Source organism: Homo sapiens, chromosome 12 (assembly GCF_000001405.40).
Source record: "Homo sapiens chromosome 12, GRCh38.p14 Primary Assembly".
Classification (NCBI taxonomy): Eukaryota; Metazoa; Chordata; class Mammalia; order Primates; family Hominidae; genus Homo; species Homo sapiens.
The window spans coordinates 116,794,284-116,821,519 of NC_000012.12; the positions used below are offsets into that span (position 1 = coordinate 116,794,284).

The 27,236-nt window shown below is 48.1% G+C and overlaps 1 protein-coding gene across 6 annotated transcripts in view, besides 2 other annotated features; it reads left to right on the forward strand.

Annotated features, from left to right (window-relative positions):
• Positions 1 to 27,236, forward strand: part of RNFT2 (ring finger protein, transmembrane 2) — a 115,317-nt gene that overhangs the window by 55,969 nt on the left and 32,112 nt on the right. The gene's annotated exons all lie outside the window — the stretch shown is intronic.
• Positions 24,840 to 24,889: an enhancer, noted in NCBI's record as "active region_7101". NCBI's record gives its function as "activates an Ori minimal core promoter by ATAC-STARR-seq in GM12878 lymphoblastoid cells {active_cell/tissue: GM12878}" and the evidence as "EXISTENCE:reporter gene assay evidence [ECO:0000049][PMID:35858748]".
• Positions 25,090 to 25,449: a silencer, noted in NCBI's record as "silent region_4906". NCBI's record gives its function as "represses an Ori minimal core promoter by ATAC-STARR-seq in GM12878 lymphoblastoid cells {active_cell/tissue: GM12878}" and the evidence as "EXISTENCE:reporter gene assay evidence [ECO:0000049][PMID:35858748]".

Below are 27,236 nucleotides of genomic sequence, written 5' to 3' on the forward strand. Positions count from 1 at the left end.
ATGATCTATTAGAAGGTTTAAAACCAGGCCAGGGCTGGGCATAGTGGTTCACGTTTGTAATCCCAGCACTTTGGGAGGCCAAGGCAGGCGGATCCCTTGAGGTCAGGAGTTCGAGACTAGCCTAGCCAATGTGGCAAAATCCTGTCTCTACTAAAAACACAAAAATTAGTCAGGTGTGGTGGTGCACACCTGCAATCCCAGCTACGCGGGAGGCTGAGGTGGGAGGATTGCTTGAACCCGGGAGGGGGAGGCTGCAGTGAGCCGAGATTGTGCCACTGCACTCCAGCCTGGGTGACAGAGTGAGACTTTGTCTCAAAAAACAAAAGAAAGGAAAGAAAGGGAAGAGAAGGGGAGGGGAGGGGAGAAGGAAGGAAGGAAGGGAGGAAGGAAGGGAGGGAGGGAGGGAGGGAAGGGAAGGGAGGAAAGAAAGAAAGAAATGAATTACTCTTAGCCCAAGATCCCAGAGCTATGCTGTCTAATATAGTAGCTAAAAAAACAAAACCAGGCCTGCTTATTTCCCACCGCATGGAGTTCGGCTCGGCCACTGCCCCTGTCTCACCAATTTCACTGATGTTATTCAGGACCTGTTTGCTTACAGGGGCAATGCTAGATCCTGAGAATATAAAAGTGAGTAAGACATCATCGTAACCTTTGTCCACTTACTTGATTCTCTGTGAATGAAACTTGGTTTTATATTAACTTAGCCCAAACCTTGGTAAGAAGGCAAATCCTCTGTCCCAGAAACATACATAGAAATATATCATATACTCCTACTTCTATAATACTAATACTAATTATTAAACATTTGATGTGTCCACATTGCCTCTTTATGAAAATGAAGGCCGGGCCCGGTGGCTCATGCCTGTAATCCCAGCACTTTGGGAGGCCAAGACAGGTGGATCACCTGGGGTCAGGAGTTCGACACCAGCCTGGCCAACATGGCAAAACCCTATCTCTACCATAAAAATACAAAAATTAGCCGGGTGTGGTGGCATGTGCCTGTAATCCCAGCTACTCCAGAGGCTGAGTCAGAAGAATCGCTTGAACCCAGGAGGCAGAGGTTGCAGTGAGCCGAGGTCACACCACTGCACTCCAGCCTGGGCGGCAGAGTGAGACTCCATCTCCAGAAAAAAAAAAAAAGAAAGAAGAAAGAAAATGAATTCCCCTTAGCCCAAGATCCGGGAACTGCGCTGTCTAATATAGTAGCTACAGGCCACATGTGGCTCTCTAAATTTAAATTAATTATGTTTAAAATTGAGTTCCTCAGTTGCACCAACCACGTTTCAAGGGCTCAAACGCAGAAATGGCTCACGGCTACTAGGGTAGACAATGTAGAGGTAGAATATTTCCATCCATGCAGAAAACGCTGTTCTAGAATGTTCTTAGGACAAAGTTTAATTCAGCTTCCCAAAAGTACAGGTAGCAGATGGAGAAACATAAAAGCGGGCCCTTCCCTAAGAACTCTCTACAAGTCCCCTGTTCAGGGAGACAGCACTGCAGAGTAGAAAGAACACAGCTGGAGTCAACGAAACTGGGGTCAAATCCTGGCTTCCTGACTTATTCCCCAGGTAACCTTGGCTGCTCTTTTGAGGCTCCCAGCTTCTTCATCTCTCCAGTGGTCATTTCTTTTTCTTTTTCTTTTTGAGACAGAGTCTCACTCTGTCACCCAGGCTGGAGTGCAGTGGTGCAATCTCGGCTCACTGAAACCTCTGCCTCCCGGGTTCAAGTGATTCTCCTGCCTCAGCCTCCCAAGTAGCTGATATTACAGGCGCCCACCACCACACCCAGCTAACTTTTGTATTTTTAGTAGAGAAGGGTTTTCACCATTTTGGCCAGGGTAGTCTTGAACTCCCGACCTCAAGTGATCCACCTGCCTCAGCTTCCCAAAGTGCTGGGATTACAGGTGTGAGCCACCATGCCCAGCCTCTCCAGTGGTCATTTCTGTCTCTTTAAGGTTATCATAAGGTGCAAGGTCAGGTATCTCATTGCTGGGTGGTTACTAGGACTGGTTGTATCAGAAACAAGGAAAGGCTTAGCTGAACTGATTTCTCTGAATAACACAGCATTTGACCAACTTGCCATCTTTTCCATGAGGACAGGGAGGAGGAAGCCCTTCCATATCCTGAATCATCTTAACTAAGTTCTAGCTCAGTAGGCTCAGCCAAATCCCTGGACAAGAGGTTCCAGTAGGGTGAGATTCCATAGGCTCTCAATCCTATTGGTTTTTCTCTAAGCACAGGGACGGGGAGGGAAGGTGGACAAAAATAAGAAAGGTGGTCTTCTCTGACATGAGAACCAAGAGGATTCATGGGGCTTTCAGTGCCATTAAAATCTCTACATTTTCCAGGCCCTGAACCCAGCACTTTTGCTCTCAAAGTGGTTTCCCATTGTTGGAGGCATCTTCGCTCCTGGAGGTCATACCTTCCCCTCTCCCCGCCTTCCCTTCTCCCAATCAGACATCTGTCTATGCTGGGGCAGGTCTGAGTATTCTAAGCCTCAGCTATGGTTTTGGCTGCATAACATTCTGTGTGTAAAGACACAGTGCCCCATCCTGGAATAAGAACTTCGAGAAGAGCCAGCCACACTGGTTCCAACTACCCACACACAGGGGCTGGAAGAAGGTTAAGTAGTGATTCCCAACTAGGGGGCTGTGGTAATTTCTGGATCATTTTTAGTTGGCACCATTGGAGGGGGTGTGCTACTGGTATTTAGTGGACAGAGACCAGGGGTGCTGCTGAATATTCTACAGTGCACAGGACAGCCCTCTACTGCAACCCAGAGTTATCCAGCCCTAAATGTCAGCAGTGCTGAAGTTGAGGAACTCTGGGTTAAATGTGTGCCTTATGGAACTGGGTCAGCTCCCCAAATGTTATGGATTGAACTGTGCTCCCCGAATGTTATGGACTGAACTGTGCCCCCCAAAATATGTGTGTTGGAGTCCAAACCCCAGGACCTCAGAATTTGGCTATATTTGGAAATAGGGTCTATAAAGATGGCCAGGCTCTGTGGGTCATTCCTGTAATCCCAGCACTTTGGGAGGCTGAGGCAGGTGGATCACTTGAGGTCAGAAGTTCAAGACCAGCCTAGCCAACATGGTGAAACCCTGTCTCTACTAAAAATACAAAAATTAGCCAGGTTTGGTGGCGTGTGCCTGTAATCCCAGTACTTGGGAGACTGAGGCAGGAGACTCACTTGAACCCGGGAGGTGGAGGTTGCAGCTGAGATGATGCCACTGCACTCCAGCCTGTCTATCTCAAAAAAAAAAAAAAAGTTATTAAGTTAGAGTGAGGTCACTAGTGATGCAAGGCAGGCAAGCCCCAAAGAGGGGCTTAGACTGTGAGGGTTCTTGGCTTTGCCCAAGAGAATTCAAGGGTGAGCCAGTGGTAGGGTAGAAGAAGGTAGCTTTATTGAAGAGGCGTTACAGCTCAGGCAGTGTTACAGCACCGTGACTACTCCTGCAGAGCAGGGCTGCCCCATAGGCAGAGAGTAGCACCTCAGGGCAATTTTGCAGCCATATTTATACCTACTTTTAATTACATGTAGATTAAGGGGCAGTTTATGCAGAAATTTCCAGGGAAGGGGTAGTCACTTTTGGGTCACTGGGTGATGGTCATGGAAAGCGGTGGTAACTCCTGGGTTTTGCCATGGCAATGGTAAACTAACATGGCATACTGTTGGGCATGGCTTATGGAAAGCTGCCTCCACCCTGTCCCTGTTCTAGCTAGCTCTCAACTTGGCCCCATATCTGAGCCCCATCTCTGGAGTCAAGTCCCGCCTGCTACCTCACTAGGACGGGCCCTGGTCCAATAGGACTGGTGTCCTTGTAAAGGAGATTTGGAACACTGACAGGCACAGAGGAAAGATCACGTGAGGACACAGAGAAAATAGCCACCTACAAGCCAAGGAGAGAGAGGCCTGGGAAACAGAACGAGACTCTGTCTCAAAAAAAAAAAAGAAGCAGCAGCAGCAGCAAATATATGTGCGTGTTCTTTTTACTCACCTTTATATATTCAAATAGAATAGTAACATTCTATATACAGCTCCCACGTTGCTTTTATTATCCATCTATCTTAGAGATTGTTCGGATAAATACATAGAGAAAACACTGCACAGTGGTTAAATGCATGGACCCTGGAGCCAGATTGCCTGTGTTCAAATCCTGTTTGAGAAACCCTCTGCCATTTACCAGCTTTGGGACCTTAGCAAGGTAGTTTGCATCTCTCGCATTCATTTTCTCATCTGTAAAATGGGATCATAATAGTACCTATCTGCATTAGGTTTTTTTTATTTTTATTTTTTATATTTTTGAGACAGAGTCTCTGTCACCCAGGTTGGAGTGCAGTGGCGTGATCTCAGCTCACTGCAACCTCAGCCTCCCAGGCTGAAGTGATTCTCCCGCCTCAGCCTCCTGAATCTGGGACCACAGATGTGTGCCACCATGCCCAGCTAATTTTTCATATATTTCTTTTTTTGGTAGAGACGGGGTTTCACCATGTTGCCCAGGCTGGGCTCGAACTCCTAAGCTCAAGCGATCTACCTGCCTCCGCCTCCAAGTGCTGATTACAGACATGAGCCACTGTGCCTGGTCCAATCATAACAGTACCTACATGTGTTAGTTTTCATTTACTGCCTAACAAATGACCACTGACTTAGTGGCTTAGAAAACACTCATTTATGAGTTCACAGTTCTGTAGGTCAGCAGTCCAGGTCAGCTTGATTGAGTTTTCTACAAAGGGTCTCACAAGGCCAAAAACAAGGTGTTGGCCAGGCTGGGCTCTTATCTGGAGGTTCTGGAGACAAGTCTACTTCCAGGCTCATTAAGGTTGTTGGCAGAATCAGTTCTGTGTGATCGTAGGACTTGAGGTCCTCCATCCTTGCTGGCTGCCATCCAGGTCACTCTCAGCTCCTAGAAGCCACGCTCCAGTCCTTGTACACAGTTGCCACCATCTTCAAGCCAAAAGCAGAGTGCTATTCTTGTGTCTGACATTTCTCTGACTTCCTTTTCCCCAAGCCCAAGAAAACTCTGCTTTTAAAGGGCTTAGGTGATTAAATTAGACTCACTGGGACAGCCTGCTAACCAACTAAAGGGTAACTGATTAGTAACCTCAATTATATCTCCAAAATCCCTTTTATCGTGTAGCCTGTAATATGATCTAGATGTGATATTTCATTACCTTCGTAGTACTGGGCATTAAGATGGGAAATTTTGCTGGGTGCCCACCGCACTATCTCAGAGGGTTGTTGTGAAAATGCAATTGCACATCTCTTAGTATGCAGTATTTATAAGTTAGCTGTGTTTTTTTTTAACAGCGGTTGTGTGTATTATGGAAGTTGTTTGGATTTATCAAGGATTTTTTAAAGGGATTCCTCAGCTGGGCACGATGGCTCATGCCTGTAATCCCTTTTTTTGGTAGAGACGGGGTTTCACCATGGGAGGCTGATGTGGGCAGATCACCTGAGGTCACCTCGTGTCTACTAAAAATATGTACCTGTCCCTTGGAACTTACAGTCCAGTGATGAAAATGATGGCCTGGATAATTAGGGGTAGTGTGGTGATACAGTTTGGATGTTTGTCCCCTCCAAATCTCATGGTAAAAAGTGATTCCCCATTGTTGGAGGTGGCGCTTAGTAGGAGTTGTTTGGGTCACAGGGGTGAATCTCATGTGAATGGCGTGGTACCCTCCCCAAGGTGATGAGTGAGTTATTGCTATATTAGTTCATGCACGATCTGACTGTTTAAAAGAGCCTGGCATCTCTTTTGCTTGCTCTCTCAACATGTGACACACCTGCTCCCCCTTCACCTTCTGCCATGAGTAAAAGCTTCCTGAAGCTTCACCAGAGGCCGAGCATATGCAGGTGCCATGCTCCCCCTACAGTCTGCAGAACCATGAGCCAAGATAAACCTCTTTTCTTTACAAATCACCTAGTCTCAGCCGGGCATGGTGGCTCATGCCTGTAATCCCTGCACATTGGGAGGCCAGGGCGGGCAGATCATTTGAGGTCAGGAGTTCGAGACCAGCCTGACCAACATGGTGAAGCTCTGTCTCTACTAAAAATACAAAAAATTGGCCGGGCACAGTGGCTTACACCTGTAATCCCAGCACTTTGGAAGGCTGAAGCGGGCAGATCACCTGAGGTCACGGGTTCAAGTCCAGCCTGGCCAACATGGTGAAACTTTTCTCTACTATAAATATAAAAAATCAGCCGGGCATGGTGGTGGTTGCCTGTAATCCCAGCTACTCGGGTGGCTGAGGCAGGAGAATTGCTTGAACCCAAGAGGCGGGAGGTTGCAGTGAGCCGAGATAATGCCACTGCCCTCCAGCTTGGGTGACAGAGCAAGACTCTGTCTCAAAAAAAAAAAATGGTTTAAAAATGCAAAAAATTAGCTGGCACTGTGGTGCGTGCCTGTAATCCCAGCTACTCAGGGGGCTGAGGCAAGAGAATTGCTTGAGCCTGGGAGGTGGAGGTTGCAGTGAGCTGAGATTGTGCCGTTGCACTCCAGCCCAGGTGACAGAGCAAGACTCCATCTTAAAATAAAATAAAATAAAATAAAATAAAATAAAATAAAATAAAATAAAAACCATTTAACAGATAAAACAGAGGCTCAGGGAGGCTAACCAGTTTGTGAAGGGTCACTGCTGGAAGGTGACAAAGTAGGACTCAACTCAGCTTGACTGGGTGACAATAAGAATAACAGCTGATACGTCTAGGATTCTCTTCTTGTTTGTGTATTTATCCACTGTGTGAAGTGCTTTATTTGCATGATTTCATTTGGTCTTCTCAGCAACACTCTGAGAAGGGAGGTGCTGTTATTGTTCCCATTCCACAGATGAGGAAACTGAGGGCCAGCAAGGGAATGCCACCCAGCAGTGAGCAGCAAAGCCAGGGGGTGCTGAGCCCAGGGGGTGCCCTGTCTGCCTGCAGCTGTTATTGAAGATGTCCCTTTTCTCACCGTCAGGTTTTACTGGAACAGAAGAGAAAGCCAGTGAGATACTAATCATTAGCAATGTTAATATTACCTGATATTTAGTTGGCTTTATGCTTTTACAAAATGTACCTCCCTTTCTGTTGCCAGGAAGATTCTAGAGCATGTAGCAAGAAAAGCAAGTAATTGTCTTTCTCTGCAGCCCTGTGGAATCGTCGAAAGAGCACATACTATACCCTAAAATTAAACCTAGATTGAAGTTCTAGCTCCTTCTGCCTCTGAGACCTTGATTAACCTCATTGAGCCCCAGTTTCTCTGTCTTTAAAATGGGAATAGCAGGACTTAACTCATAACACTGTTGTGAGAATTAAATTAAATAACACAAGTCAAGTGCTGGCTGGTTAGTTAATTATTGTCATTCTGAGGAAGATAAGAGCATTAGCAGCCATCTGTTTATAATTTAAAGTGAGTAAGAAAGTTAGAATCTAACCAAAGTCAGGATCGAACAGAATACCGTTTTTCAAACTATGTTTCTGGGCCCTTAGGGAGATGTTAATAGGCATTTTATTGGTTTGTTTGTTTTCTGTGGGGTTTTTTTTGTTTGTTTGTTTGTTTGTTTGTTTGTTTTTTTGAGACAGAGTCTCACTCTGTTGCCCAGGCTGGAGTGCAGTGGTGCGATCTTGGCTCATTGCCACCTCCGCCTCCCAGGTTCAAGCGATTCTCCTGCCTCAGCCTCCTGAGCAGCTGGGATTACAGGCACCTGCCACCATGCCCAGCTAATTTTTGTATTTGTAGCAGAGATGGAGTTTCGCCATGTTGGCCAGGCTGGTTTTGAACTCCTGACCTCAAGTGATCCACCTGCCTTGGCCTCCCAAAGTGGTGACTTAAAGGTGTGAGCCACTGCACCCAGCCTAATAGGCATTTTATAAAAAGGTGTTCTATGGTTAAATAACTTTGGGAAATGCTCTGTATATTATCCCCTACTCACACACTCACATAGTAAAGGCTCTGAGAAGTCCCGCAATAAAGAAATTCATTTCACTTTGTTTTCTCTGACACATTTCCAACTTATTAAGCATGGGACCCTTTTATTGAGGAGCACAGCATCTTGCAGACTCTAGTTCAGGAGTCGGCAAACTACAGGTGGGCCCACTGCTTGTTTTTGTAAATAAAGTTCTGTTGGAAACCAGCCATGCCCATTTATGTATGCATTGTCTGTGACTTTCACTGTACTGTGGCAGAGTTGAGGAATGATGACAGAGACTCTGTGGCCCACAAATCTTAAAATATTTACTGTCTGGTCCTTTAAAAAAAAGTCCGCTAAAACTGAAGTTAGTGTAAAGATGGGGGCAGACATTGGGAATGATGTAGCCACAAGACAAACAATGCCACCAGCCACCAGGAACTGGGAGAGGCAAAGAATGACTTTCTTCTCTAGAGTCTCCAGAGGGAATGTGGCCCAGCCAACACTTTGATTTGGGCCCAAGGAAACTAATTTTGGACTTCTGGCCTCCAGATCTGGGAGAGAATAAGTTTCTTTTGTTTCAAGCCACTCAGCATGTGGCAATTTCCTACAGGAGCTACAAGAAACTAATGAACAGGTGGGCCTGGCGCAGTGGCTCATGCCTGTAATCCTAGCACTTTGGGAGGCCGAGCCAGGAGGATCACTTGAATCCAGGAGTTCGAACCCAGCCTGGGTGGCATGGTGAAACTCTGTCTCTACCAAAAAAAAAAAAATTAGCCTAGCACGGTAGCATATGCATATAGACCCAGCTACTCAGGAGGCTGAGGTGGGAGAATCTCTTGAGCCTGGGAGGCAGAGGATGCAGTGAGCCGAGATCACGCCACTGCACCCCAGCCTGGGCAACAGAGCAAGACCCTGTCTTAAAAAAAAAAATCAAAAACAAATACACAGGTGTTTATGCCACTTGTATTTGTCAGAGAAGGAAGTTGGTCCATCTCATGAGCGACATTCACAACAGCAGAGGAAACACCTGGTCTTGTTATGCCAGCAGTGGAGGTTATAAAGTCCTCTGGGTGCAACCGACACCACCTGCCACGGGGGTGATGTTTTATACTCTCCCTCCTCTTGTTCCAGTTGTCATTAGTTGCCTGTATACATCTGAGATTTTTCATTTTTAGGTTATTTTTGAATATTTTAAAATTATAAAATATTTCAACTATACAGAAAATAATATATAATGGGGATCTCCACACCTACCATTGAGATTGAACCTTTTCCATGCTTGCTTCAGATCTTCCTCTTTCCTTTTAGAGAAATAAAAGCCACTCCGCTGACCCCACTTACATCCACTGTATTGTTTCCTGTCTGTATTAATCAGGGTATCCCAGGTGCTGCTGTCAACAACACCAAAGTCTCAAAGTTGTCACCCAACATTCTTTTCAGCTCATCAGAGTCCAGTGGAGGTTGGCCAAGGTGCTCTGCTCCAGGCAGTCATTTAGGGATCGTGGCTTCTTCCATGGAATGAAATCACCATCCCCCAGGATGTTCTCATAGGACAATTTCTCAACTTGAGGTGTATATAAAAGTCATCTGGAGAGCCTTGAGTAGCAGGGGGATGAGACCTCAGTCTCCACTGGAACCTCAACATCAGGGGGCCAATGAGGGAAGGGAAACTGGAGAATTACATGAAAGGTTTTTGGCCCAAGGCAGTGGTGCAGAACACTTCCACCCACATTCTTTCCTTGGCTAGGACCCAGTCAGAAGGCCTCACCTAACAGCGGATAATCTGGGAAACTTTTGTCTTACTGAGAGCCTGGGGGAAGATTAAGTGGGACTTGGGGAACCATGGCAGTATCTCTGCCACATCCTTTGAAATGTGTATTCCTTCTCCTTCCCTAGACGTTACCACTGGTTCCTTACTTTTACTACACATTTATGTCCATAAACAAAATATGGTGTTGGTTTTGGTGCATATCAAATTAACATAGCTTATATTCTACATACATCCTTTTGCAACTTGTGCTGTTACACAGTGTTGTGTTTTTGAGGTTTGTGTGTATTCTTGCTTCTCAAAGTGCAGTCCCTGGACCAGTAGCATGAGCACCTGGCAACTTGTTAGAAATGTAAAGCCTCAGACCCCACCCCAGACCTACTGATTCAGAAACTGTGAGGTGGGGCCAGCAGTCTGTGCCTTTCTAAATCCTCCAGATAATTTGAATGCACACTGAAGTTTGATAACCACAGATCTTTATTAATATGTGTAGCTCTAGTTCTCAGTTTATTCATTTTTCAGCAATATGTAATATTCTTTGGTTTATTCATCCATTCCCCTAACTCATGAGCAATTAGATTGTTTCTTTATTTTTTTACCATTATGTATATTACAGTAATGATCATCTCACTACATATGCACAAAAGTTTCTCTAACACAGCCATCTAGAAATGAAATTGTTGAATTTTAGGATTGAGTAGCTTTAGCTTTATCCAGAATCCCAAGACGGTTCTTTCTCGAGGCAGGCTGGGTGCGGTGGCTCACGCCTGTAATCCCAGCATTTTGGGAGGCCACAGTGGGCAGATGACCCCTAGGAGTTCAAGACCAGCCTAGGCAACACGACAAAACCTTGTCTCTACAAAACATACAAAAATTAGCCAGGCATGGTGGTACATGCCTGTAGTTCCAGCTATTCAGGAAGCCGAAGTGGGAGGATTGCTTGAGCCTGGGAAGTAGAGGCTGCAGTGATCCACGATTACACCACTGCACTCCATCCTGGGTGATGAAGTGAAACCCTGTCAAAAAAGAAAAAGAAGCTATAGCAATTTACACTTCTTCCAATGCTGGATACAAGTTGTTTTTTCTTGTTTTCCTTTAAGCTTTTCGCATTACTTTGAAATCCCTTATCTTCAAGGTGTACTAGAGACACATTATCAAGAAAGGGTTAAGACATTGTCTTTTTTTTTTTTTTTTAGAAGTTTTAGATTTAAACATGGACACAGAACCTGGCTCCATCACTTCCTCTATCGCCCACTGCTTGGTGGGTTTACTTCTTGATGTTTGATTTTTCTTTGCCTAACAGAGGTAATAGCGGGCAGTTCTCTCTTTTTCCTAATCTTGATGGGAGTGCCTCTAGGATGCCTGTAACAGACAAGGTTCGCCAGAGAAACAGAACCAGTAGAATATATGTACATAGATTTATTTTAAGGAATTGCCTTGTAGGACTGCAGGGGCTGGAAAGTCTGAAATCTGCAGAACAGGCCAGCAGGCTGAAAGCTCTTGGAAGGAGCTGATGCTGCATTTTTTGTTGTTGTTGTTGTTGTTTTTTGACACAGCGTCTCTCTCTGTCGCCCAGGCTGGAGTGCAGTGGCGCAATCTCAGCTCAGTATAACCTTCGCCTCCCGGGTTCCAGCAAGTCTCGTGCCTCAGCCTCCTGAGTAGCTGGGACCACAGGTGTGAGCCGCCACACTGGCTAATTTTTATAATTTTATTAGAGACAGGGTTTTGCCATGTTGGCCAGGCTGGTCTCGAACTCCTGGCCTCAACTGATCTGCCTGTCTCGGCTTCCCAAAGTGCTGGGATTACAGGCGTGAGCCACGGTGCCCAGCCCTGATGCTGAAGTCCTGAGGCAGAATTTATTCTTCCTCGGGGAAACCTCAGTCTTGTTCTTACAGCCCTTCAGCTGATTGGATGAGGTTCACCCAGGATATCAAGGAAAATCTTCATTGCTTATGTCAACTGATTGTAGATGTTAACAACATTTACAAAATGCCATCACAGCAAAACCCAGATCAGTGTTTGATTGCATAACTAAATACTACAGCCTAGCTAGCTGAATCGAGACATTAAACTAAACATATAGTCCCCCTTTAAACAAGAGGGCAGCTTTGAAGCTGGCGCTGATGTTTTATCATGTTAACAAAGTATTCATCTTGGCTGGGTGCTGAGGCTCATGCCTGTAATTTCAGCACTTTGGGAGGCCGAGGTGGGCAGATCACTCGAGGCCAGGAGTTCGAGACCAGCCTGGAAACCCCATCTCTACCAAAAATACAAAAATTAGCCAGGCATGGTGGTGCATGCCTGTAATCCTAGCTACTTGGAAGGCTGAGGCATGAGAATAGCTTGAACCTGGGAGGTGGAGGTTGCAGTGAGCCCAGATGGCACCACTGCATTCCAGCCTGGGTAACAGAGTGAGACTGTCTCAAAAAAAAAAAAAAATATATATATATATATATAGATAGATAGATAGATAGATAGATAGATAGATTCATCTAGTTTAATCTAGTAAAATGTTTAAAATTAAAGATGGTTGTTATGGCCAGGCACAGTGTTTCACATCTATAATCCTAGCAGTTTAAGAGGCTGAGGCCAGGAGTTCGAGACCAAGCCTGGGCAACATAGTGAGACACCTTCTCTATAAAAAAAATTAATTAAAAAATTAGCTGAGCACGGCGGTGCACACCTGTAGTCCCAGCTACTCGGGAGACTGAGGATCCCTTGAGCCTGAGAGTTCGAGGCTGCAGTGAGCCATGGTCATGCCACTATACTCTCCACCCTGAGTGATACAAGAGACCCTCTCTCAAAAAAAAAAAAAAAAAGCTGTTGAATTTGATCAAAAAGCATTTGATTTTTCTCCTTTCATCTGTTGCTATGAAGAGCTGCATTATTAGATTTTCTATTAATCCTTACATTCAGTGAACCCCTCTTGATCATAACCTCTTATTCTTTGAATGTACTTCTGGATTCCGTGTGCCACTGTTCTGCTGGGATTTTTGCTCCTCATTTGTAAAAGTTCTTAAGTGTTCCTCTCCCTTTTTACATGGCTTCCCGGAAATGGCTCCCGTCACTTTCACTTAGATCTCATTGGCCACCACTCAGTCACACTTACCGCATGGCAGGCTGGGGAGTGTCATCTTGTGGCTGGGTGCCAATGGCCCTAAGCAAAGATTGAGACGCTTATTTTGAAAGAGGAAGGGGAGAAGGAATATCGGGAGGCACTAGCAATCTCTGTACCGGGGTGATTATCCCTTGTCTATAAATGAGAGACTGGAAGCTCAGCAAGGTGTGTTCACTTATCCAGGGTCACACAGCAAGTCTGTGGCCAGGCTGTGACTTCAGAGGCCAGGTCTTCCAGATGCCAAGGGAGATGCCATTAGGGACCCGTGATAGTAATAAAGTAAGAAATATTAGATGATAATACGACGGAGTAATAATAAATATCCAGTGTCCCTAGTACTGGTCTAAATGCTTCATTAACATGAACTCATTTCATTCTCACAACAATCCTATGAGGTAGACACTCTTAATGCCCCCAATTTGCAGATGAGGAAACTGAGGCACAGAGAAGGTAAGTGACTTGCCTGGGGTATGTAAATGACAGGGCTTAGACTCTAAGACTCTTAATCACTGCATGATTCTGCCTCTCCCCGCACCATTCCCCACTCGCACTCCCCTGACCCAGAGACTGCAACTCAAACAGCAGCAGCCACTGCTCCCTGTGCACCTGCAGAACCATCGAAACTGCTCCCACCAACCCAGGCACCATACACCCTTGTCCCCAGCCTCCTTACATCCTCTTCCCTCAACTACCCTGGTACCCTCCTTTTCTGTCTGTGGGGCCTGCACCTCACTTTTTCTTGAGTCTGTGTTTTTGTTTTGAGATAGGGTCTTGCTGTGTCACCCAAACCGGTGTGCTTTGATGCGATTGTGGCTCACTACAGCCTCAAACTCCTGGGCTCAAACGATCCTCCCACCTCAGCCCCCTGAGTAGCTGGGACTACAGGTGTGCACCACACTCAGCTAATTTTTTAATTTTTTCTTTTTAAGACAGTTTCGCTCTTGTTGCCCAGGCTGGAGGGCAATGGCACGATCTCACTACAACCTCCGCCTCCCAGGTTCAAGTCGTTCTCCTGCCTCAGCCTCCCAAATAACTGGGATTACAGGCGCCCGCCACCATGCCCAGCTAATTTTTGTATTTGTTGTAGAGATGGGGGTTTCACCATGTTGGCCAGGCTGGTCTCAAACTCCTGACCTCAGGTGATCCACCTGCCTTGGCCTCCTAAAGTGCTCGTAAGCCACCACACCTGGCCTAATTTTTAAGTTTTTTATAGCAACGGGGTCTTGCTGCATTGCCCAGGCTGGTGTTGAACTCCTGGCCTCAAGAAATCCTCCTGCCTTGGCCTCCCAATGTGCTGGAATTACAGGTGCGAGCCGCTGCATCCAGCCTTCATGTTTTGTTGCTGTCCTTGTGTTTTGTTTTGTTTTTCCCTTCACTCTGCCCCCTGGGAGACTCCCAAAGGCTACATTCTGCCACCAAGGGACGCAGCAGGGACAGGGCCCCAGCAGGCACCTGGGATTTCCCACACCCCACCCTCTACTGGATGAAGATGGTGGGGAGGTTTTGGGTGATTTATTTATTTATGTAGTCCCGCCTGGCTCCACACCCCCCAAGCTGTTGTTCCGCCACTAGAGAAGATGAAAAACAACCTCAGACAATGGAAGACAAGGCTTGCCACATGGCCCCCGCAGTTTAATTTCCTTTAATTCATTTTCTATTGAACCAAATGATACTGTTTGTTTTTAATGGCAAACGGCAGGGAGGAGGGGCGGTCAGGCCTCCTCCTGGGGAAATTAGGAACATAGCTGCTATTGAAATTCTTGCTCCCCGTCCTGTGCTCCCCCTGGCTCCCCCACTCTCACCCCCAGCACTGGGCCGTTGGAAATCGACCTCCAGGTTGAAAGATGATACTTGTCACCAGCTCAGATGGTCACTGTCTGGCGAGCTGGCCTGGCTCCGCCCCAGCTGCCATCAGCCCCTTTTAGGATGGCCGCCCCATCCCAAGGCCCACCCTTCTGTGGTTATAACTGGATGCACAGGGCCGGAGCCATGGCTTTTTTGGTGCCCCTCTCCCCTGCCTATCGCTGGTAATCCTGAGCAGGCACCTAGTCCTTGCTGGAGCCATCCAGTGCCCTCCCCCAGGAACTGAAGAACACAGAGGCTGGGCACAGTTAGAGCTGAGTTTGTTCATTCATTCATTCATTCATTCATTCATTCATTCATCACCTGGGAGCAGAGTCGTGGCTGCATCCCAGTCCTCCTCCATCAGAGGTTGCGTTTGAACTCGATTCCTGGTGGTTCAGGTGCTGACAGGAGTTGAGAAGTGCTGATGAGAGGAGAGGTCCTTCCACTTCGTTGTGAGGTTTCGGCAACTCCTTCATGTGGCCTGGGGGGTCCAGCGCTTCTTTGAAGTCCGAGAAGATCCACAATCTTTCCAAAGCCCCCTCTTTTTTGCTGGAATGGGCCAGAGTCAGCTCCAGTTCTCGCAGGTAAAGAGCACTTTGATATGCAACCAGCCCCTTTGGGAGAGGCTTTGGCCTGCTCATGGCTTCACTGGGAGCCATGCCAAGATGGTCAGTTCCCGATTCAGACATCCCGGAGGTCTCTCTGGTTCCTCAAAGACTGGGCTTCACCCCTGCCCTCTTTTTCACAGACCGGTAGACCCAGAAAGACCTTTTCTTTTTTTTTGAGATGAAGTCTTGCTCTTGTTGCTCAGGTTGGAGCACAATGGCACAATCTCAGCTCACTGCAACCTCCACCTCCCGGGTTCAAGCTATTCTCCTGCCTCAGCCTCCTGAGTAGCTGGGACTACAGGCACCCACCACCACGCTCAGCTAATTTTTTGTATTTTTTAGTAAAGACAGGGTTTCACCATGTTGGCCAGGCTGGTCACAAACTCCCAACCTCAGATGATCCACCCACCTCGGCCTCCCAAAGTGCTGGGCTTGCAGACGTGAGCCACCGTGCCTAGGCCAGAAAGACCTTCTTATTCTGCTGATTTGAGGAAACCAAGTCCCCAAAGTGACCAGTTCTGGGTCACATGATTTGTTTTCTCATGCATTCATTCTGCAGATATATTGGACACCCCAGAGTGCCGAGACCTATGCTAGGCATGGGGTTCTGCAGACCAGGAGTTTCACGCTGAAAGCTCACAGTCCAGTGGGGGTGTTGCAGGCAAGGAAGCAGTCACTCCAAGGCCCTCTGGGAAAACAGAGAATGGACACCTAAACCAGTCCCCAGCAGAGACTTCCTGAAGAAGGTGACATCAGAGCTGAGTTTTAAAGCAGGGCTGGGAGTTACCCAGGCATCGCAAAGCCACAAGGGCACGGCAGGAAGAGGGGACAGCCGCAGCCATGGTGTGGAAGTGGAAAACAGTTCGGGGTGTGCGTTTTTCCAGATAACTCCTGAACATCCCATTCCCACCAGACTCTAAGCTCCATGGGGGCAGAATAAGAATCTGCCCAGTGGCTCAGGGTAGGTGAGTGAGTGACTCTCAAATAAAGTGATGAGCAAACAGCAGTGGTTGGTATGAATTTGCTCACAGGGCAAAGCAGGGAGACTCACGTTCTTGGCTCCGAGACCCACCCTGACCCACCTTTCCAAACTACATCATGGGTATGTGGTGGCAACCCCTGCTGTGGGGTGCTGGGGGAATTAATCATCAAGCTAAGGGCTGATCATTTTTCTCTTCTTCAACTCAATGATTAAGCAAGGCAGCCAGGCTCCCTGAGGGGGCCTTGGAGGTGTCTACTTTGGCTCCCTGCTCCTGAGGGGGAAGACAGGGACTGCTGTGTTGGTTTCCTGCTTTTTGCTTCCATTGGGGTAGGGGGGACTACCCTGCTTCCATATTTCCCCCAGATGTTTCTCCTTCCCTGGAGAGAAGAAAAGGTAGCAGAACTGAGATTTGGCCTCAGGGAGCCCACTGATAACACGTCTCAACTTTTAGCTTGTCCAGAAAGGTTCCAGAGTGGATTGGAAAGAGCTTGGGCTCTGGAGTCAGGTGGATCTGAGCTGGAATTTTGGTTCCACCATTTCCATCAGTATCACTTCCAGTCAGTCACCTCCCTTCTCCATGCCTCAGTTTCCTCATCTGTAAAAAAGGAAGTTATCCACCAGGCATGATGGCTCACGCTACTCGGAAGTTTGTCTTTCCAGCTACTAGGAAGGCTGAGGTGGGAGGATGGCTTGAGCCCAAGAGTTCAAGTCCAGGTGGGCAACATAGAAAGACCCCCATTTCAAAAAAAAAAGAAATATTCCTGTTTACCTCTGGAGGTAGGGTGGAGACTGGAGGTGATTTAAAAAATAAATGGAAGCAATGCAGGTGGAGGTGATTTTAGCAATCCCTGGCACATGTAAATGCTCAATGGGTGTATTTTTTTTTTTCCTTTTTTTGAGACAGAGTCTCACTCTGTCGCCCAGGCTGGAGTGCAGTGGGGCCATCTCGGCTCACTGCAACCTCTGTTTCCCAGGTTCAAGCAATCCTTGTGCCTCAGTCTCCTGAGCAGCTGGGATTACAGGCGCCCACCACCACACCTGGCTAATTTTTGTATTTTTAGTAGAGACGAGTTTTCGCCATGTTGGCCAGGCTGATCTTAAACTCCTGACCTCAAATAATCTGCCCGCCTTGGCCTCCCAAAGTGCTGGGATTACAGGCGTGAGCCAACGCACCCGGCATGCGTGCGCGTGCGTTTGTGCATGTGTGTGTCTGTGTGTGTGTGCATCCACCCTCATGACCCTCGTGGAAATCCAGGCCCTGTTGCAGGGGGCTTGGCAGCCCACCGAGGCTTTGCTGGCCTCTGGCTCTTCTCCTCGGGGCCCAGAAGTGCTAAGATCAGAACCCTGAATGGAAGGAAGGAAAAGAAGGGAGGAAATATTATCCTTACTAGTTACCAATAGGCACCAGCCCTGGACTGGGTCCTGGGGCTGCCTGGTTTGAATCCTGCCTTTGCCACTAGCTATATACCCTCGGGTGAGTGAGTTCACCGGGTCAAACTCTGATGCCTCTTCTGTGTACATGACTGATGATGTTACCTGGCTCCAGGAGGAGCCCGGTGAGGAACAAATGAGGTCATGAGGTTTAGAACAGAGTTTTCAGTGCCTGCTCAATCTCAGCTGTTGGGATAAGACCTGACCCTGACTTCAAGGGGCTGATGGAGAGGTGGGGCAGAGACACACAAAAGAACAAGAACAAGACAGAGGGAGATGGCACCTGGAACACAGACTTATTCCCTGCTGCAGCCTTATCCAGGGTGCCTGGCACATAGCAGCCCGACATAAATACACACTGAGTGATGACCATAGCAGCCCGACATAAATACACGTTGAGTGACAACGCAGAGATGCAGGCAGAGGACGGGGATGGCAGAGGGAGGAGAGGAGGGACAGCTCTGTTCCCTCATGGGCCTGACCAGATTACCGCAGGTCCCTGGGGCGTGGCATTACTGAAAGCAGACTTGTCACTACACTAGGTGAGGCCAGGAGGTGGCGGGGAGATCTCTGCAGCCAGCCTTCTGTGTCTAGGCCTGTTCCTATCTTTTTTTTTTTTTTCCTTGAGACAGGGTCTCACTCTGTCACCCAGGCTGGAGTTCAGTGGCGCGATCTCAGCTCACTGCAACCTCCACCTCCTGGGTTTAAACGGTTCTCCTGCCTCAGCCTCCTGAGTAGCTGCGATTACAGCATGCGCCACCACACCTGACTAATTTTTGTATTTTTAGTAGAGATGGGGTTTTACCATGTTGGCCAGGCTGGTCTCTAAATCATGGCCTCAAGTGATCCACCTGCCTTGGCCTCCCAAAGTGCTGGGATTACAGGTGTGAGCCACTGCGCCTGGCTAGGGCTGTTCCTATCTTAGGAGGAGGAAACCATCGTTCCAAGAGTTTCAGTACCTTGTCCATAATCCCACGCCATTCAGAGGCAAGGGAGTCCTTTGGTTTTCTGTTTTGTTTTGTCATTTGTTTTTGTTTTTTTCTTTTGAAACAGGGTCTCACTCTGTCACCCAGGCTGGAGTGCAGTGGCACGATCACGATTCATTGCAGCCATGACCTCCCAGGCTCAAGCCATCTTCCTGCCTCAGCCTCCCCGATAACTGGGACTACAGGCATGTGCCACCATGCCTGGCTAATTTTTTTTGTATTTTTTGTAGAGACAGGGTTTTGCCATGTTATCCAGGTTGGCCTTGAACTCTTGGTCTCAAGCGATCCACCCACCTTGGCCTCCTCCCAAAGTGCTGGGATTACAGGTGTGAGCCTCCTGGCCAAGGGAGTCCTTTTGAATGCTTGCCTGGCCTTCGCCTCTCTTCCCAGCCCGACACCTCAGCCATCGCTTGCCAAGTGTTTTGAATGCCTCTTAGGGCTGAATCATGCTCTTGTTCTCTCACCTCCTCCAGGCCTTTGCAGTGGCTGTTCCCTGTGCTAGGAACACTGTCTCCCCAGCCCCATCTGGCTGACCCCTCATCACCCCATCACCCTCAGGTGTTTAGATATCATTTCCACTTGGAAGTCTAAACTTGTGGTTGGGTGACTCACCTGTGTGCTTCCATAGCCCCGAGGCCACTTCTGTTGTGAATGCATCATGTGATGTTGTGTTTGCTGGTTTGTCTCCCCCATTAGGACTTAAAACTTGGCAAGAACAGAGATCAAGTCTCTTGTATATTTCATTTTATTCCCAGCACAGTGCATGGTACATAGCAGGTACTCAAAACACATACGCTGAAGGTAATTAATTCATGAGAATGTTGCAGATATTTCTCCCTTCACTATATTTTCTCTGAAGCAGGCAGTGTGAATTCAGTTGGAAGGGTCTACCAGACTTGGAGTCAAGCAGGTTCCATTCCCAGCTCTTTCACTTATAAGTCATGGACCTTGGATGAGTCAGTAGCCTTCTCTAAGCCTCAGTGTTCTTCCGTATATAATGGGGATAGTATTCATGATGTGAAGATTAAACAGGACCATACCTTTAATATGAATGAAGCCTTTTGATCACTACAGCTTAGTAAGTGCTAGGCTCGATTTATCAATTAGTGAAAAAACAAGGTAAGCAGAGGAAACGGGGCCTTGGAAAACATGACCCCAGCCCTCCCCGTGTCATTCTCCAGGAGTAGATGATGATAGTCATTGTCATGGCAACATTGTAGAAGCCAGTCACCATGCACGTACTACCTGCCAGCCACTGTCCTAGGCACTTTCCATTCATCCATTTCTTCATCCACTGAACCAGTATTTTTTGGCCACCTATTCTGTACCAGGCCCAGGACTAGGTCCCAGAAATACAGCAGTGAAGAAGCAGAGCATGCACTTTCAAGGGACTTAGATAAAAAGATGCTGAAATCAGTAGGCAATATGTCAGATGGAGATCAAACAGGGAGTGTCATTGTTTGCAGGGCGGGGAAGGGAGGGCGATGCTCTTTTAGACAGTGGTGGGGGGTAGGGAGAAGGTAACATTCATGCAAAGCCTTGAAGGAAGCAAGGGAGTGTGCCATGTGGATATGTGGGGAAGAGGATTCCAGGCTGGGGAAACAGCATATGTAAAGGCCCTGAGGTGGAAACGTGCTTGGCAAGGTTAAGGAGCAATGAGCCTGTGTGGCTGGAGCAGAAGAAGGGGCAGGGCAACTTCATGGGCAAGCACCCTTTGCAGAAGGCCCAAACACTTGGTTTAATGCTCCACTGTTGCCGTATGATATTTTTTTTTTTTTCCGACAGAGTCTCACTCTGTTGCCCAGACTGCTGGAGTGTGCAGTGGTGCAATCTCGGCTGGCTGCAACCTCTGCCTCCTGGGTTCAAGTGATTCTCATGCTTCAGCCTCCCGAGTAGCTGGGATTACAGGCATGCACCACCATGCCCAGCTAAGTTTTCTATTTTTAGTACAGATGGTGTTTCACCTGCGTGCAAGCATGCCCAGCTAAATTTTTGTATTTTTAGTAGAAATGGGGTTTCACTATGTTAGCCAGGCCGGTCACAAACTCCTGACCTCAGGTGACCCGCCTGCGTCGGCCTCCCAAAGTGCTGGGATTACAGACATGAGCCACGGCGCCCAGCCGAGATTCTTAGTATGTCAACAAGGGGCCCTGCATTTTAATTTTACACTGGGTATCATAAATGATGTAGCCGGTCCTAGTAGTAGTAGATGTAGTCAAAGAGGTGGTTGTAACCACAGCTCAGAGGCCACTCCCAGGCCTGGGTGTGCTCTGGCCTCCTCCCATCTTGCCATGGAAGCCAGCCCACCAGAGATGCTCCAGCCATGCCATCCTGACACTACCCTCATGACAGTCTAACTATTTCTTCTCTGTGTTAGCTTCCTGTGAGTACTGTAACAAATAACCACAAACCTTGTGGCTTAAAACAACACAACTGTATTATCTTACAGTTCTGGAGGTCAGATGTCCAAAATCTGTGTCACTGGGCTAAAGCCAAGGTGTCTGCACTGTGGTTCCTTTGGGAGGCTCCGGGGGACAATCCATTTTCTTGTCTTTTCTAGCTTCTAGAAGCTCCCTGCCCTCCTTGCCTCTGGTCCCCTTCTCTATCTTCAAAGTGCATCTCTCCAACCTCTGTGTCTGTTGTCTCATTGTCTTCCTTCAACCTGACCCTCTTGCCTTCCTCTAATAAGGATCCTTGTGATGATATTGGGCCCGTCCAGGTCACCTGGGATAATCTCCCCATCTCAGGAGCCTTAATTTCATCACATCTGCACGTGCACAAAATTCCTTTCGCCCTGTAAGGTACCAAATTCATAGGTTCTGGGGATTGGGATATGGACATCTTTGGGGCGGGGGCATTATTCAGCCTTCCATATCCCCTACTTTGCTAACGAGGAAACTGAGGCCCAGAGAAGTGATTGATATGACTTCGGCAAAGTCACCCTCCCAGCAGGACAGATCCACACTTGAGGACCCTGTTTGTCAAGTTTGAAGTCATGGGCTCCAGACCACCAGGAAAGGAGATGCCCTCTGCCCATCTCTGCCTGTCTCCCTCCTTCCCTTGCACCTCTCCCTCCACTCCCTAGTGTTTTGGGAAACAGCCAGGCTTGGGCAGTTTAGCCCAGAGCATTTGTGCTTAAGACTATAGCTGACTTGGGGACAGATAAGCTCATCCATCCACCTGGGACCAGGACAGAGGGAAGAGAACGCCTTTTCGTAGCTAACAGGGTCCCAGGCCACTATGGGCTTAATCATCAACATCTTATAATTAGGCCTCTCCTGGGTACTGGGGAGCAGGGCCCTGTGTGTAGGGAAGCTGCTGATGCAGTTGCTGGGGCACGTGCGCTGGGCCCTTCCTGTTCATGGGGCCGATGCTCTTAGATCAAGGGAACCATGGCCAATGAAATTGGGTACCCCACTGCTGCTGTTGACAGGAAGATTTTTACTCACAGCCCAGCAACTCTTTTGGGGCCTCAGCCTGGCCCCAAGGACTCTGCCAGCTGGCCCCTGGGACCATAGCACCAGAGGCGATCGCGGCCTCCTCCTCCCCCTCCTCGCCAGAAGAGCAGAGAGAGGATCTTTATAGGAAATTGGGGGTGAGAGGGAGAAAATGACACATTTTCATCAGCTCTGGTTTTAATAGTGAGTGTCCAGTTATCTAGTGGCAGATGTTGTGGGTAAGAGCATCTGTACAGACATCAGAGACCTGGATTCAAATCCCACCTCTGCTACATCTGAGCTCTATAAGCTTAGGCAAAATGGTGAACTTCTCTGAAACTGAGCCTCAGTTTCTCTCATCTGCAAAGTGGAGGTGACAATTTCCCCCCTCATGGGGTTGTTATAGTCTATTTTTAAAGTGGGTAAGCAAAATTTCAGCTTGTGGCCTTAAAAAAATAACATGTATGAGGTATAAAAACAAAAAATAACAAATACTCGTGTACCCAGCTTAAAAAGTAGAGAACTGCTAGTTTCTTAGAAACCCCTTGTGTATATCTCCTGGGTTCCATCCATCTTCTTCCCTCCCTTTGCCCATAAGAAAAGTTTTGTGATTACCATTTGTGTGTTTTCCTTGTGTCTGGTCTTTGTAGTTTCCTTGTTTTTGTTTTGTTTTGTTTTTTGAGATGGAGTCTCGCTCTGTCGCCCAGGCTAGAATACAGTGGTGCGATCGCAGCTCACCGCAACCTCCACCTTCTGGGTTCAAGCGATTCTCATGCATCAGCTTCCCAAACAGTTGCGTCTACAGGCACGCACTACCATGGCCGACTAATTTTTGTATTTTTAGTACAGATGGGGTTTCACGATGTTGGCCTGGCTGGTCTCGAACTCCTGACCTCAAGTGATTTGCCCGCCTCAGCCTCCCAAAGTACTGGGATTACAGGTGTGAGCCACTGCACCTGGCCTGTTTTTATTTTTTAAATAGAGACAGGAGGTCTCATGATGTCTCCCAGGCTAGTCTCAAACTCCTGGCCTCTAGCAATCCTCATGCCTCAACCTCCCAAAGTGCTGGGATTACAGGCATGAGCCACTGCACCAGCCTGATTTTTGTAGTTTTTACGTCTTCTTCCTTGCTGTTATTAAAGGTGAGAGCATAAGCTGTATAACCTTGTCCCTTCCACGCCTAATTTCCTACTCAGTTCCTCTGATTTTCCTCTCCTCTCAGCTACCAACAGAGGACACTACTGATTGGGAAACCAGAATGCCAAACTTGTCACTACTGTAGTACACTTAAGAATTAATAGGCTCTGAAAAGCACCACAGGGACTTCACTGTAAGTAAAGTATATGTAGCAAGGGGCTTTTGAACTTCCTAGAAAGTATGGAGTAAGACCACACTTTACACTCAAACAAACCTGAGTTTTGAGCAGCACTGCTCACCATCCTAAGCCACCAATTCTTTGCATTTACTCCAAAAATATTTCAGTGTCATATTATGACAGGCACTGCGAAGGTGTTGGGGATAAGATGATAAATGAAAGAAACAGACCAAAACAGAGTCCCTGCTCTCATTTCATTGGGGGAAATCACCATTAAACTATATCAACACGCAAATATAGAACTTCAAGTTTCAACAAGCACTAGAGACAAATAAAAACAATTCATGGAGAATTCGTTTAGGGAAACGGGAAAGGGCTTTCTCTGTGGGATGGACATTTGAGCTGAAACTTGTACTTCCTTGACATCTGACTTTGGTTTTAAAAAATATTTACCAGCCTGGGCAACACAGGGGAGACCCCCTCTCTACAAAAAAAGTCTTTAAAAAATTATCTGGGGCATGGTGGCACACACCTGTGGTCCCAGCTACTCGTGGGGCTGAGAGGGGAGGCTCGCTTGAGCCCAGGAACTCAAGGCTGCAGTGAGCTGAGATCGCACCACTGCACTCCAGCCTGGGTGACAGTGAGGCCCTATCTCAAAAAAAAAAAAAAAATCCGCTTTTTCGTCTGCAAACCTGGGCTGGTAATATCCCTCCCAGCTTTGCCCTTAGTAACAGGCCCTGGCTCAGTGCCTGGTTCAGCACTGCCGTTCAGTAAATGTCATGTCCCTTCCTTCCTGTCGTTCCTGGCTGTGTATGTTGCTGGAGGTCTTCTGAGGAGTGGTGTGAGTGAGCAGTCTCTAAGCGATGGGAGAAATCTGCTGCTGGCAAGTGAGTTGTGAAGCCTCTAATAGGCTCTCACTGGACCCTCTTCAACTGGGTTTGATGGCGACCCTGTCGGAGAGAGAAGGGAGGGTGTATCGTCCACTGTCAACATTCGGAAGCCTTCCTCTTTTTCTGGGGAAGGTGGTGTCGAGTAATTGAAAGGCTCTGCTGTAGAGTCAAGTCACCTGGGTACAAGTCCCAGTTCTGCAGCAAGTAACTTGACCTCTCCGAGCCTTGTGTTCTCATCTGTAAAATGGTCCGTATAATTCCTCTACAGTGGTCTGTCATGTGGAACAGGACCCAGCATTGCGGGGGCACGCCGCAAGTGGGACCGTTACCACTGTTTACACCAGAGCAAGGAGGAACTGGGGTAAAGGTGCAGAGGTTTGGGGTACAGGTAAGGAGAAGAAAAAGGCTGTCAAAGGGCTCATTCACATCATGGAGGTCCGGGTTCCTGCGCCACCCTTCCCTACGTGGGTAATCTGGGGCAGATTCCTTTATCCCTCTGATCCCGTTTCTTCGTCTGTAAGACACAGCTCCACAACTTCCTTCACTCAGTGGCTGTGAAATCCTGCAGGCAAGCCGCGTCGCATGGCCCCTGACTTCAAGTTTAGGGGAGCTGATGAGGTCACTCCCTGCTGGACAAGGGGTCTTCGGGGTGAAATGTCCAAATAAGAGAGCGGGGAGTGGACGCGCAAAGATGCGTCAAAAGGATGGAAAAGGCAGCTTTGCCCTTCGCAAACTGAGATCTCCTTTGTCCGCGAAGGGCTAAGAGCCTCAGGCTCGGGGGCCTGGTACCGGCGCGGGACGCCCGGAGGCCAGACCCGGAGCCGGCGGCGCGCAGAGCGGGGCGGCCCGGGGCGCGGGGCTGTGACCTCATCGGCCGGCGCCGTCCCGCGGGGCCATGAGATCATGAGATGCCGGCGCTCGCCGAGGAGTCGATTTGTTGGGAGCGCGGGGACAGCCGGCCGCCCGACGCGGTGATCTCATCCGGGCCCGGGGGAGGAGGAGGCAGGCGGCCGGGCCAGCCCGCGCCGCCAGGAGGGGGATTAATGGCTGCCGCCGGGTGGTGACGTCACCGGCAGCACCCGTTGCCAGGCAACGCGCGGCCACCAGCCCCGCCCCGCTGGCCCCGCCTCCTACCTGCTGCGCTTCTTTCCATCCTGGCTCGCCCTTCTCTTGCCTTTTTTCCTTTTTCTTTTGTATTGAGGCATAACTTACATACTGTGGAGTGCCCTAATTATAAAGCTCAGTGGATTTTTACAAACATATGTAATCACTCAGATCAAAGTATCAACAAAGCTGTCCGACAGAAATATAAGAGTAGTCACACAGACGATTTTAAATGTTCTAGTAGTCACGTTAAACAACTAGAAAGGAACAGGTGACTTTAATTTTAATACTATATTTTATTTAGCCTAATGTGTCCAAAATATTATTTCAACATGTAATCAACATAAAATTTTTAATGAGATATTTTACCTTTTGTTGTTTTTCTAAGACTTTGAAATTCCTTGTTTCTTTTGCTTTTAAGGGATATTGTTTGTTTGTTTGTTTGTTTTTAAAGACAGTCTTACTGTGTCTCCCAGGCTGGAGTGTAGAAGTACGATCATGCTTACTGCAGCCTCGACTTCCCTGGGCTCAGGTCATCCTCCTGCCTCAGCCTCCCGAGTAGCTGGGTCTACAGGCGTGCGCCATCATGCCTGGCTAGTTTTTGTAGAGACAGGATTTCATTATGTTTCCCAGTCTGGTCTCGAATTCCTGGTCTCAAGGGGTCCTCCTGCCTCGGCCTCCCGTAGTTCTGGGTTTATAGGTGTGAGCCACCATGCCCAGCTATCCCTGTGTATTTTAGACTTTCAGTACATCTCAATTCAGAATAGCCACATTTCAAGTGCTCCATAGCGACATGTGACCAGTGGTTACTGGATTGGCTGTGGTGGATATGGAACATTTCCGGCATCTGGAAAGTTCCTGTGTCCTCACTTCCCCCACCAGGGGTACCCATTATTCTGAATTTTATCATCCTTCAGTTATCCTTCCCTCTCTACCCCCATAGCTTGTATCTTTTCTTTCTCTTTCTCCCACATCTTACTTTATCTCCTAAGGTCTCCTAGGGTCTCCCTTTCTCTGTTTCTCAGAGTGGCACAAAGCCACTCTGGAAAATCAGGCTGGATTTAAATCCCGGCTCCACCACTGTCTAGCAACTTCGAACAACATACCCTGCCTCTTTGAGCCTCTCTCTCCTCACCAGTTAACAGGGGCAAATAATTTCAGTGTCCATCTCCTGGGATTGTCAGAGTCTGGGGACAGCCTGCAGGTACTAAGTGTTCAACCGAGAAACTCATCACTAAACTAGAAGCCAGCCCTAGTCCTTCTCTCTTTCCTCTTGTAATCCTCTCACTTGCTGGGTCTCCCACTCTGTTCTTCCCTCCCCTGCCTCTGTGTTTGAGCTTTCTCATCTAAGAAATGGGAACGCGTCATAACTACCTACAAGAGGAGCAATTGGTGTGCCGTTCCTGGCCCCTGGTAAGCGCTTAATACGGGGGTTACTCTTCCCCTGTTGCCTTCTCACCTGGACTCTGCCTCCTGGGTGTTCTTTCTCTTCTGGCCTCTAACTCTGCCATTTCTCTCTTCCTTTCTTCTGCCCCCAGCCCCATTTCCCCCTCCTGTTTCTATCCACTTCCCTCCTTCCTTCCTGTGCTCTTCTCTAGCCTTGCTTCTATCCCCAGTCCTGCCCCGTCACACTTGTTTCTCCCACCCCTCCTGGCCGGGCGCTGCTGTGAAGTCAGTGGTCCAGCCCCGATCCCACCCCCAGCACTGGAGGAGACCCAGCACGGGCCTCAGCTCATTAGCCCAGCCCTTCAAGCCTCCAGGTCGGTGCTGGGTCTGCAGGACTCTGCCAGCTGTGGTCCCCACAACCCCACCATCCTAACAGGCCCGCAGGCCACCTTCCCAGGACAACATGTCTTTGTT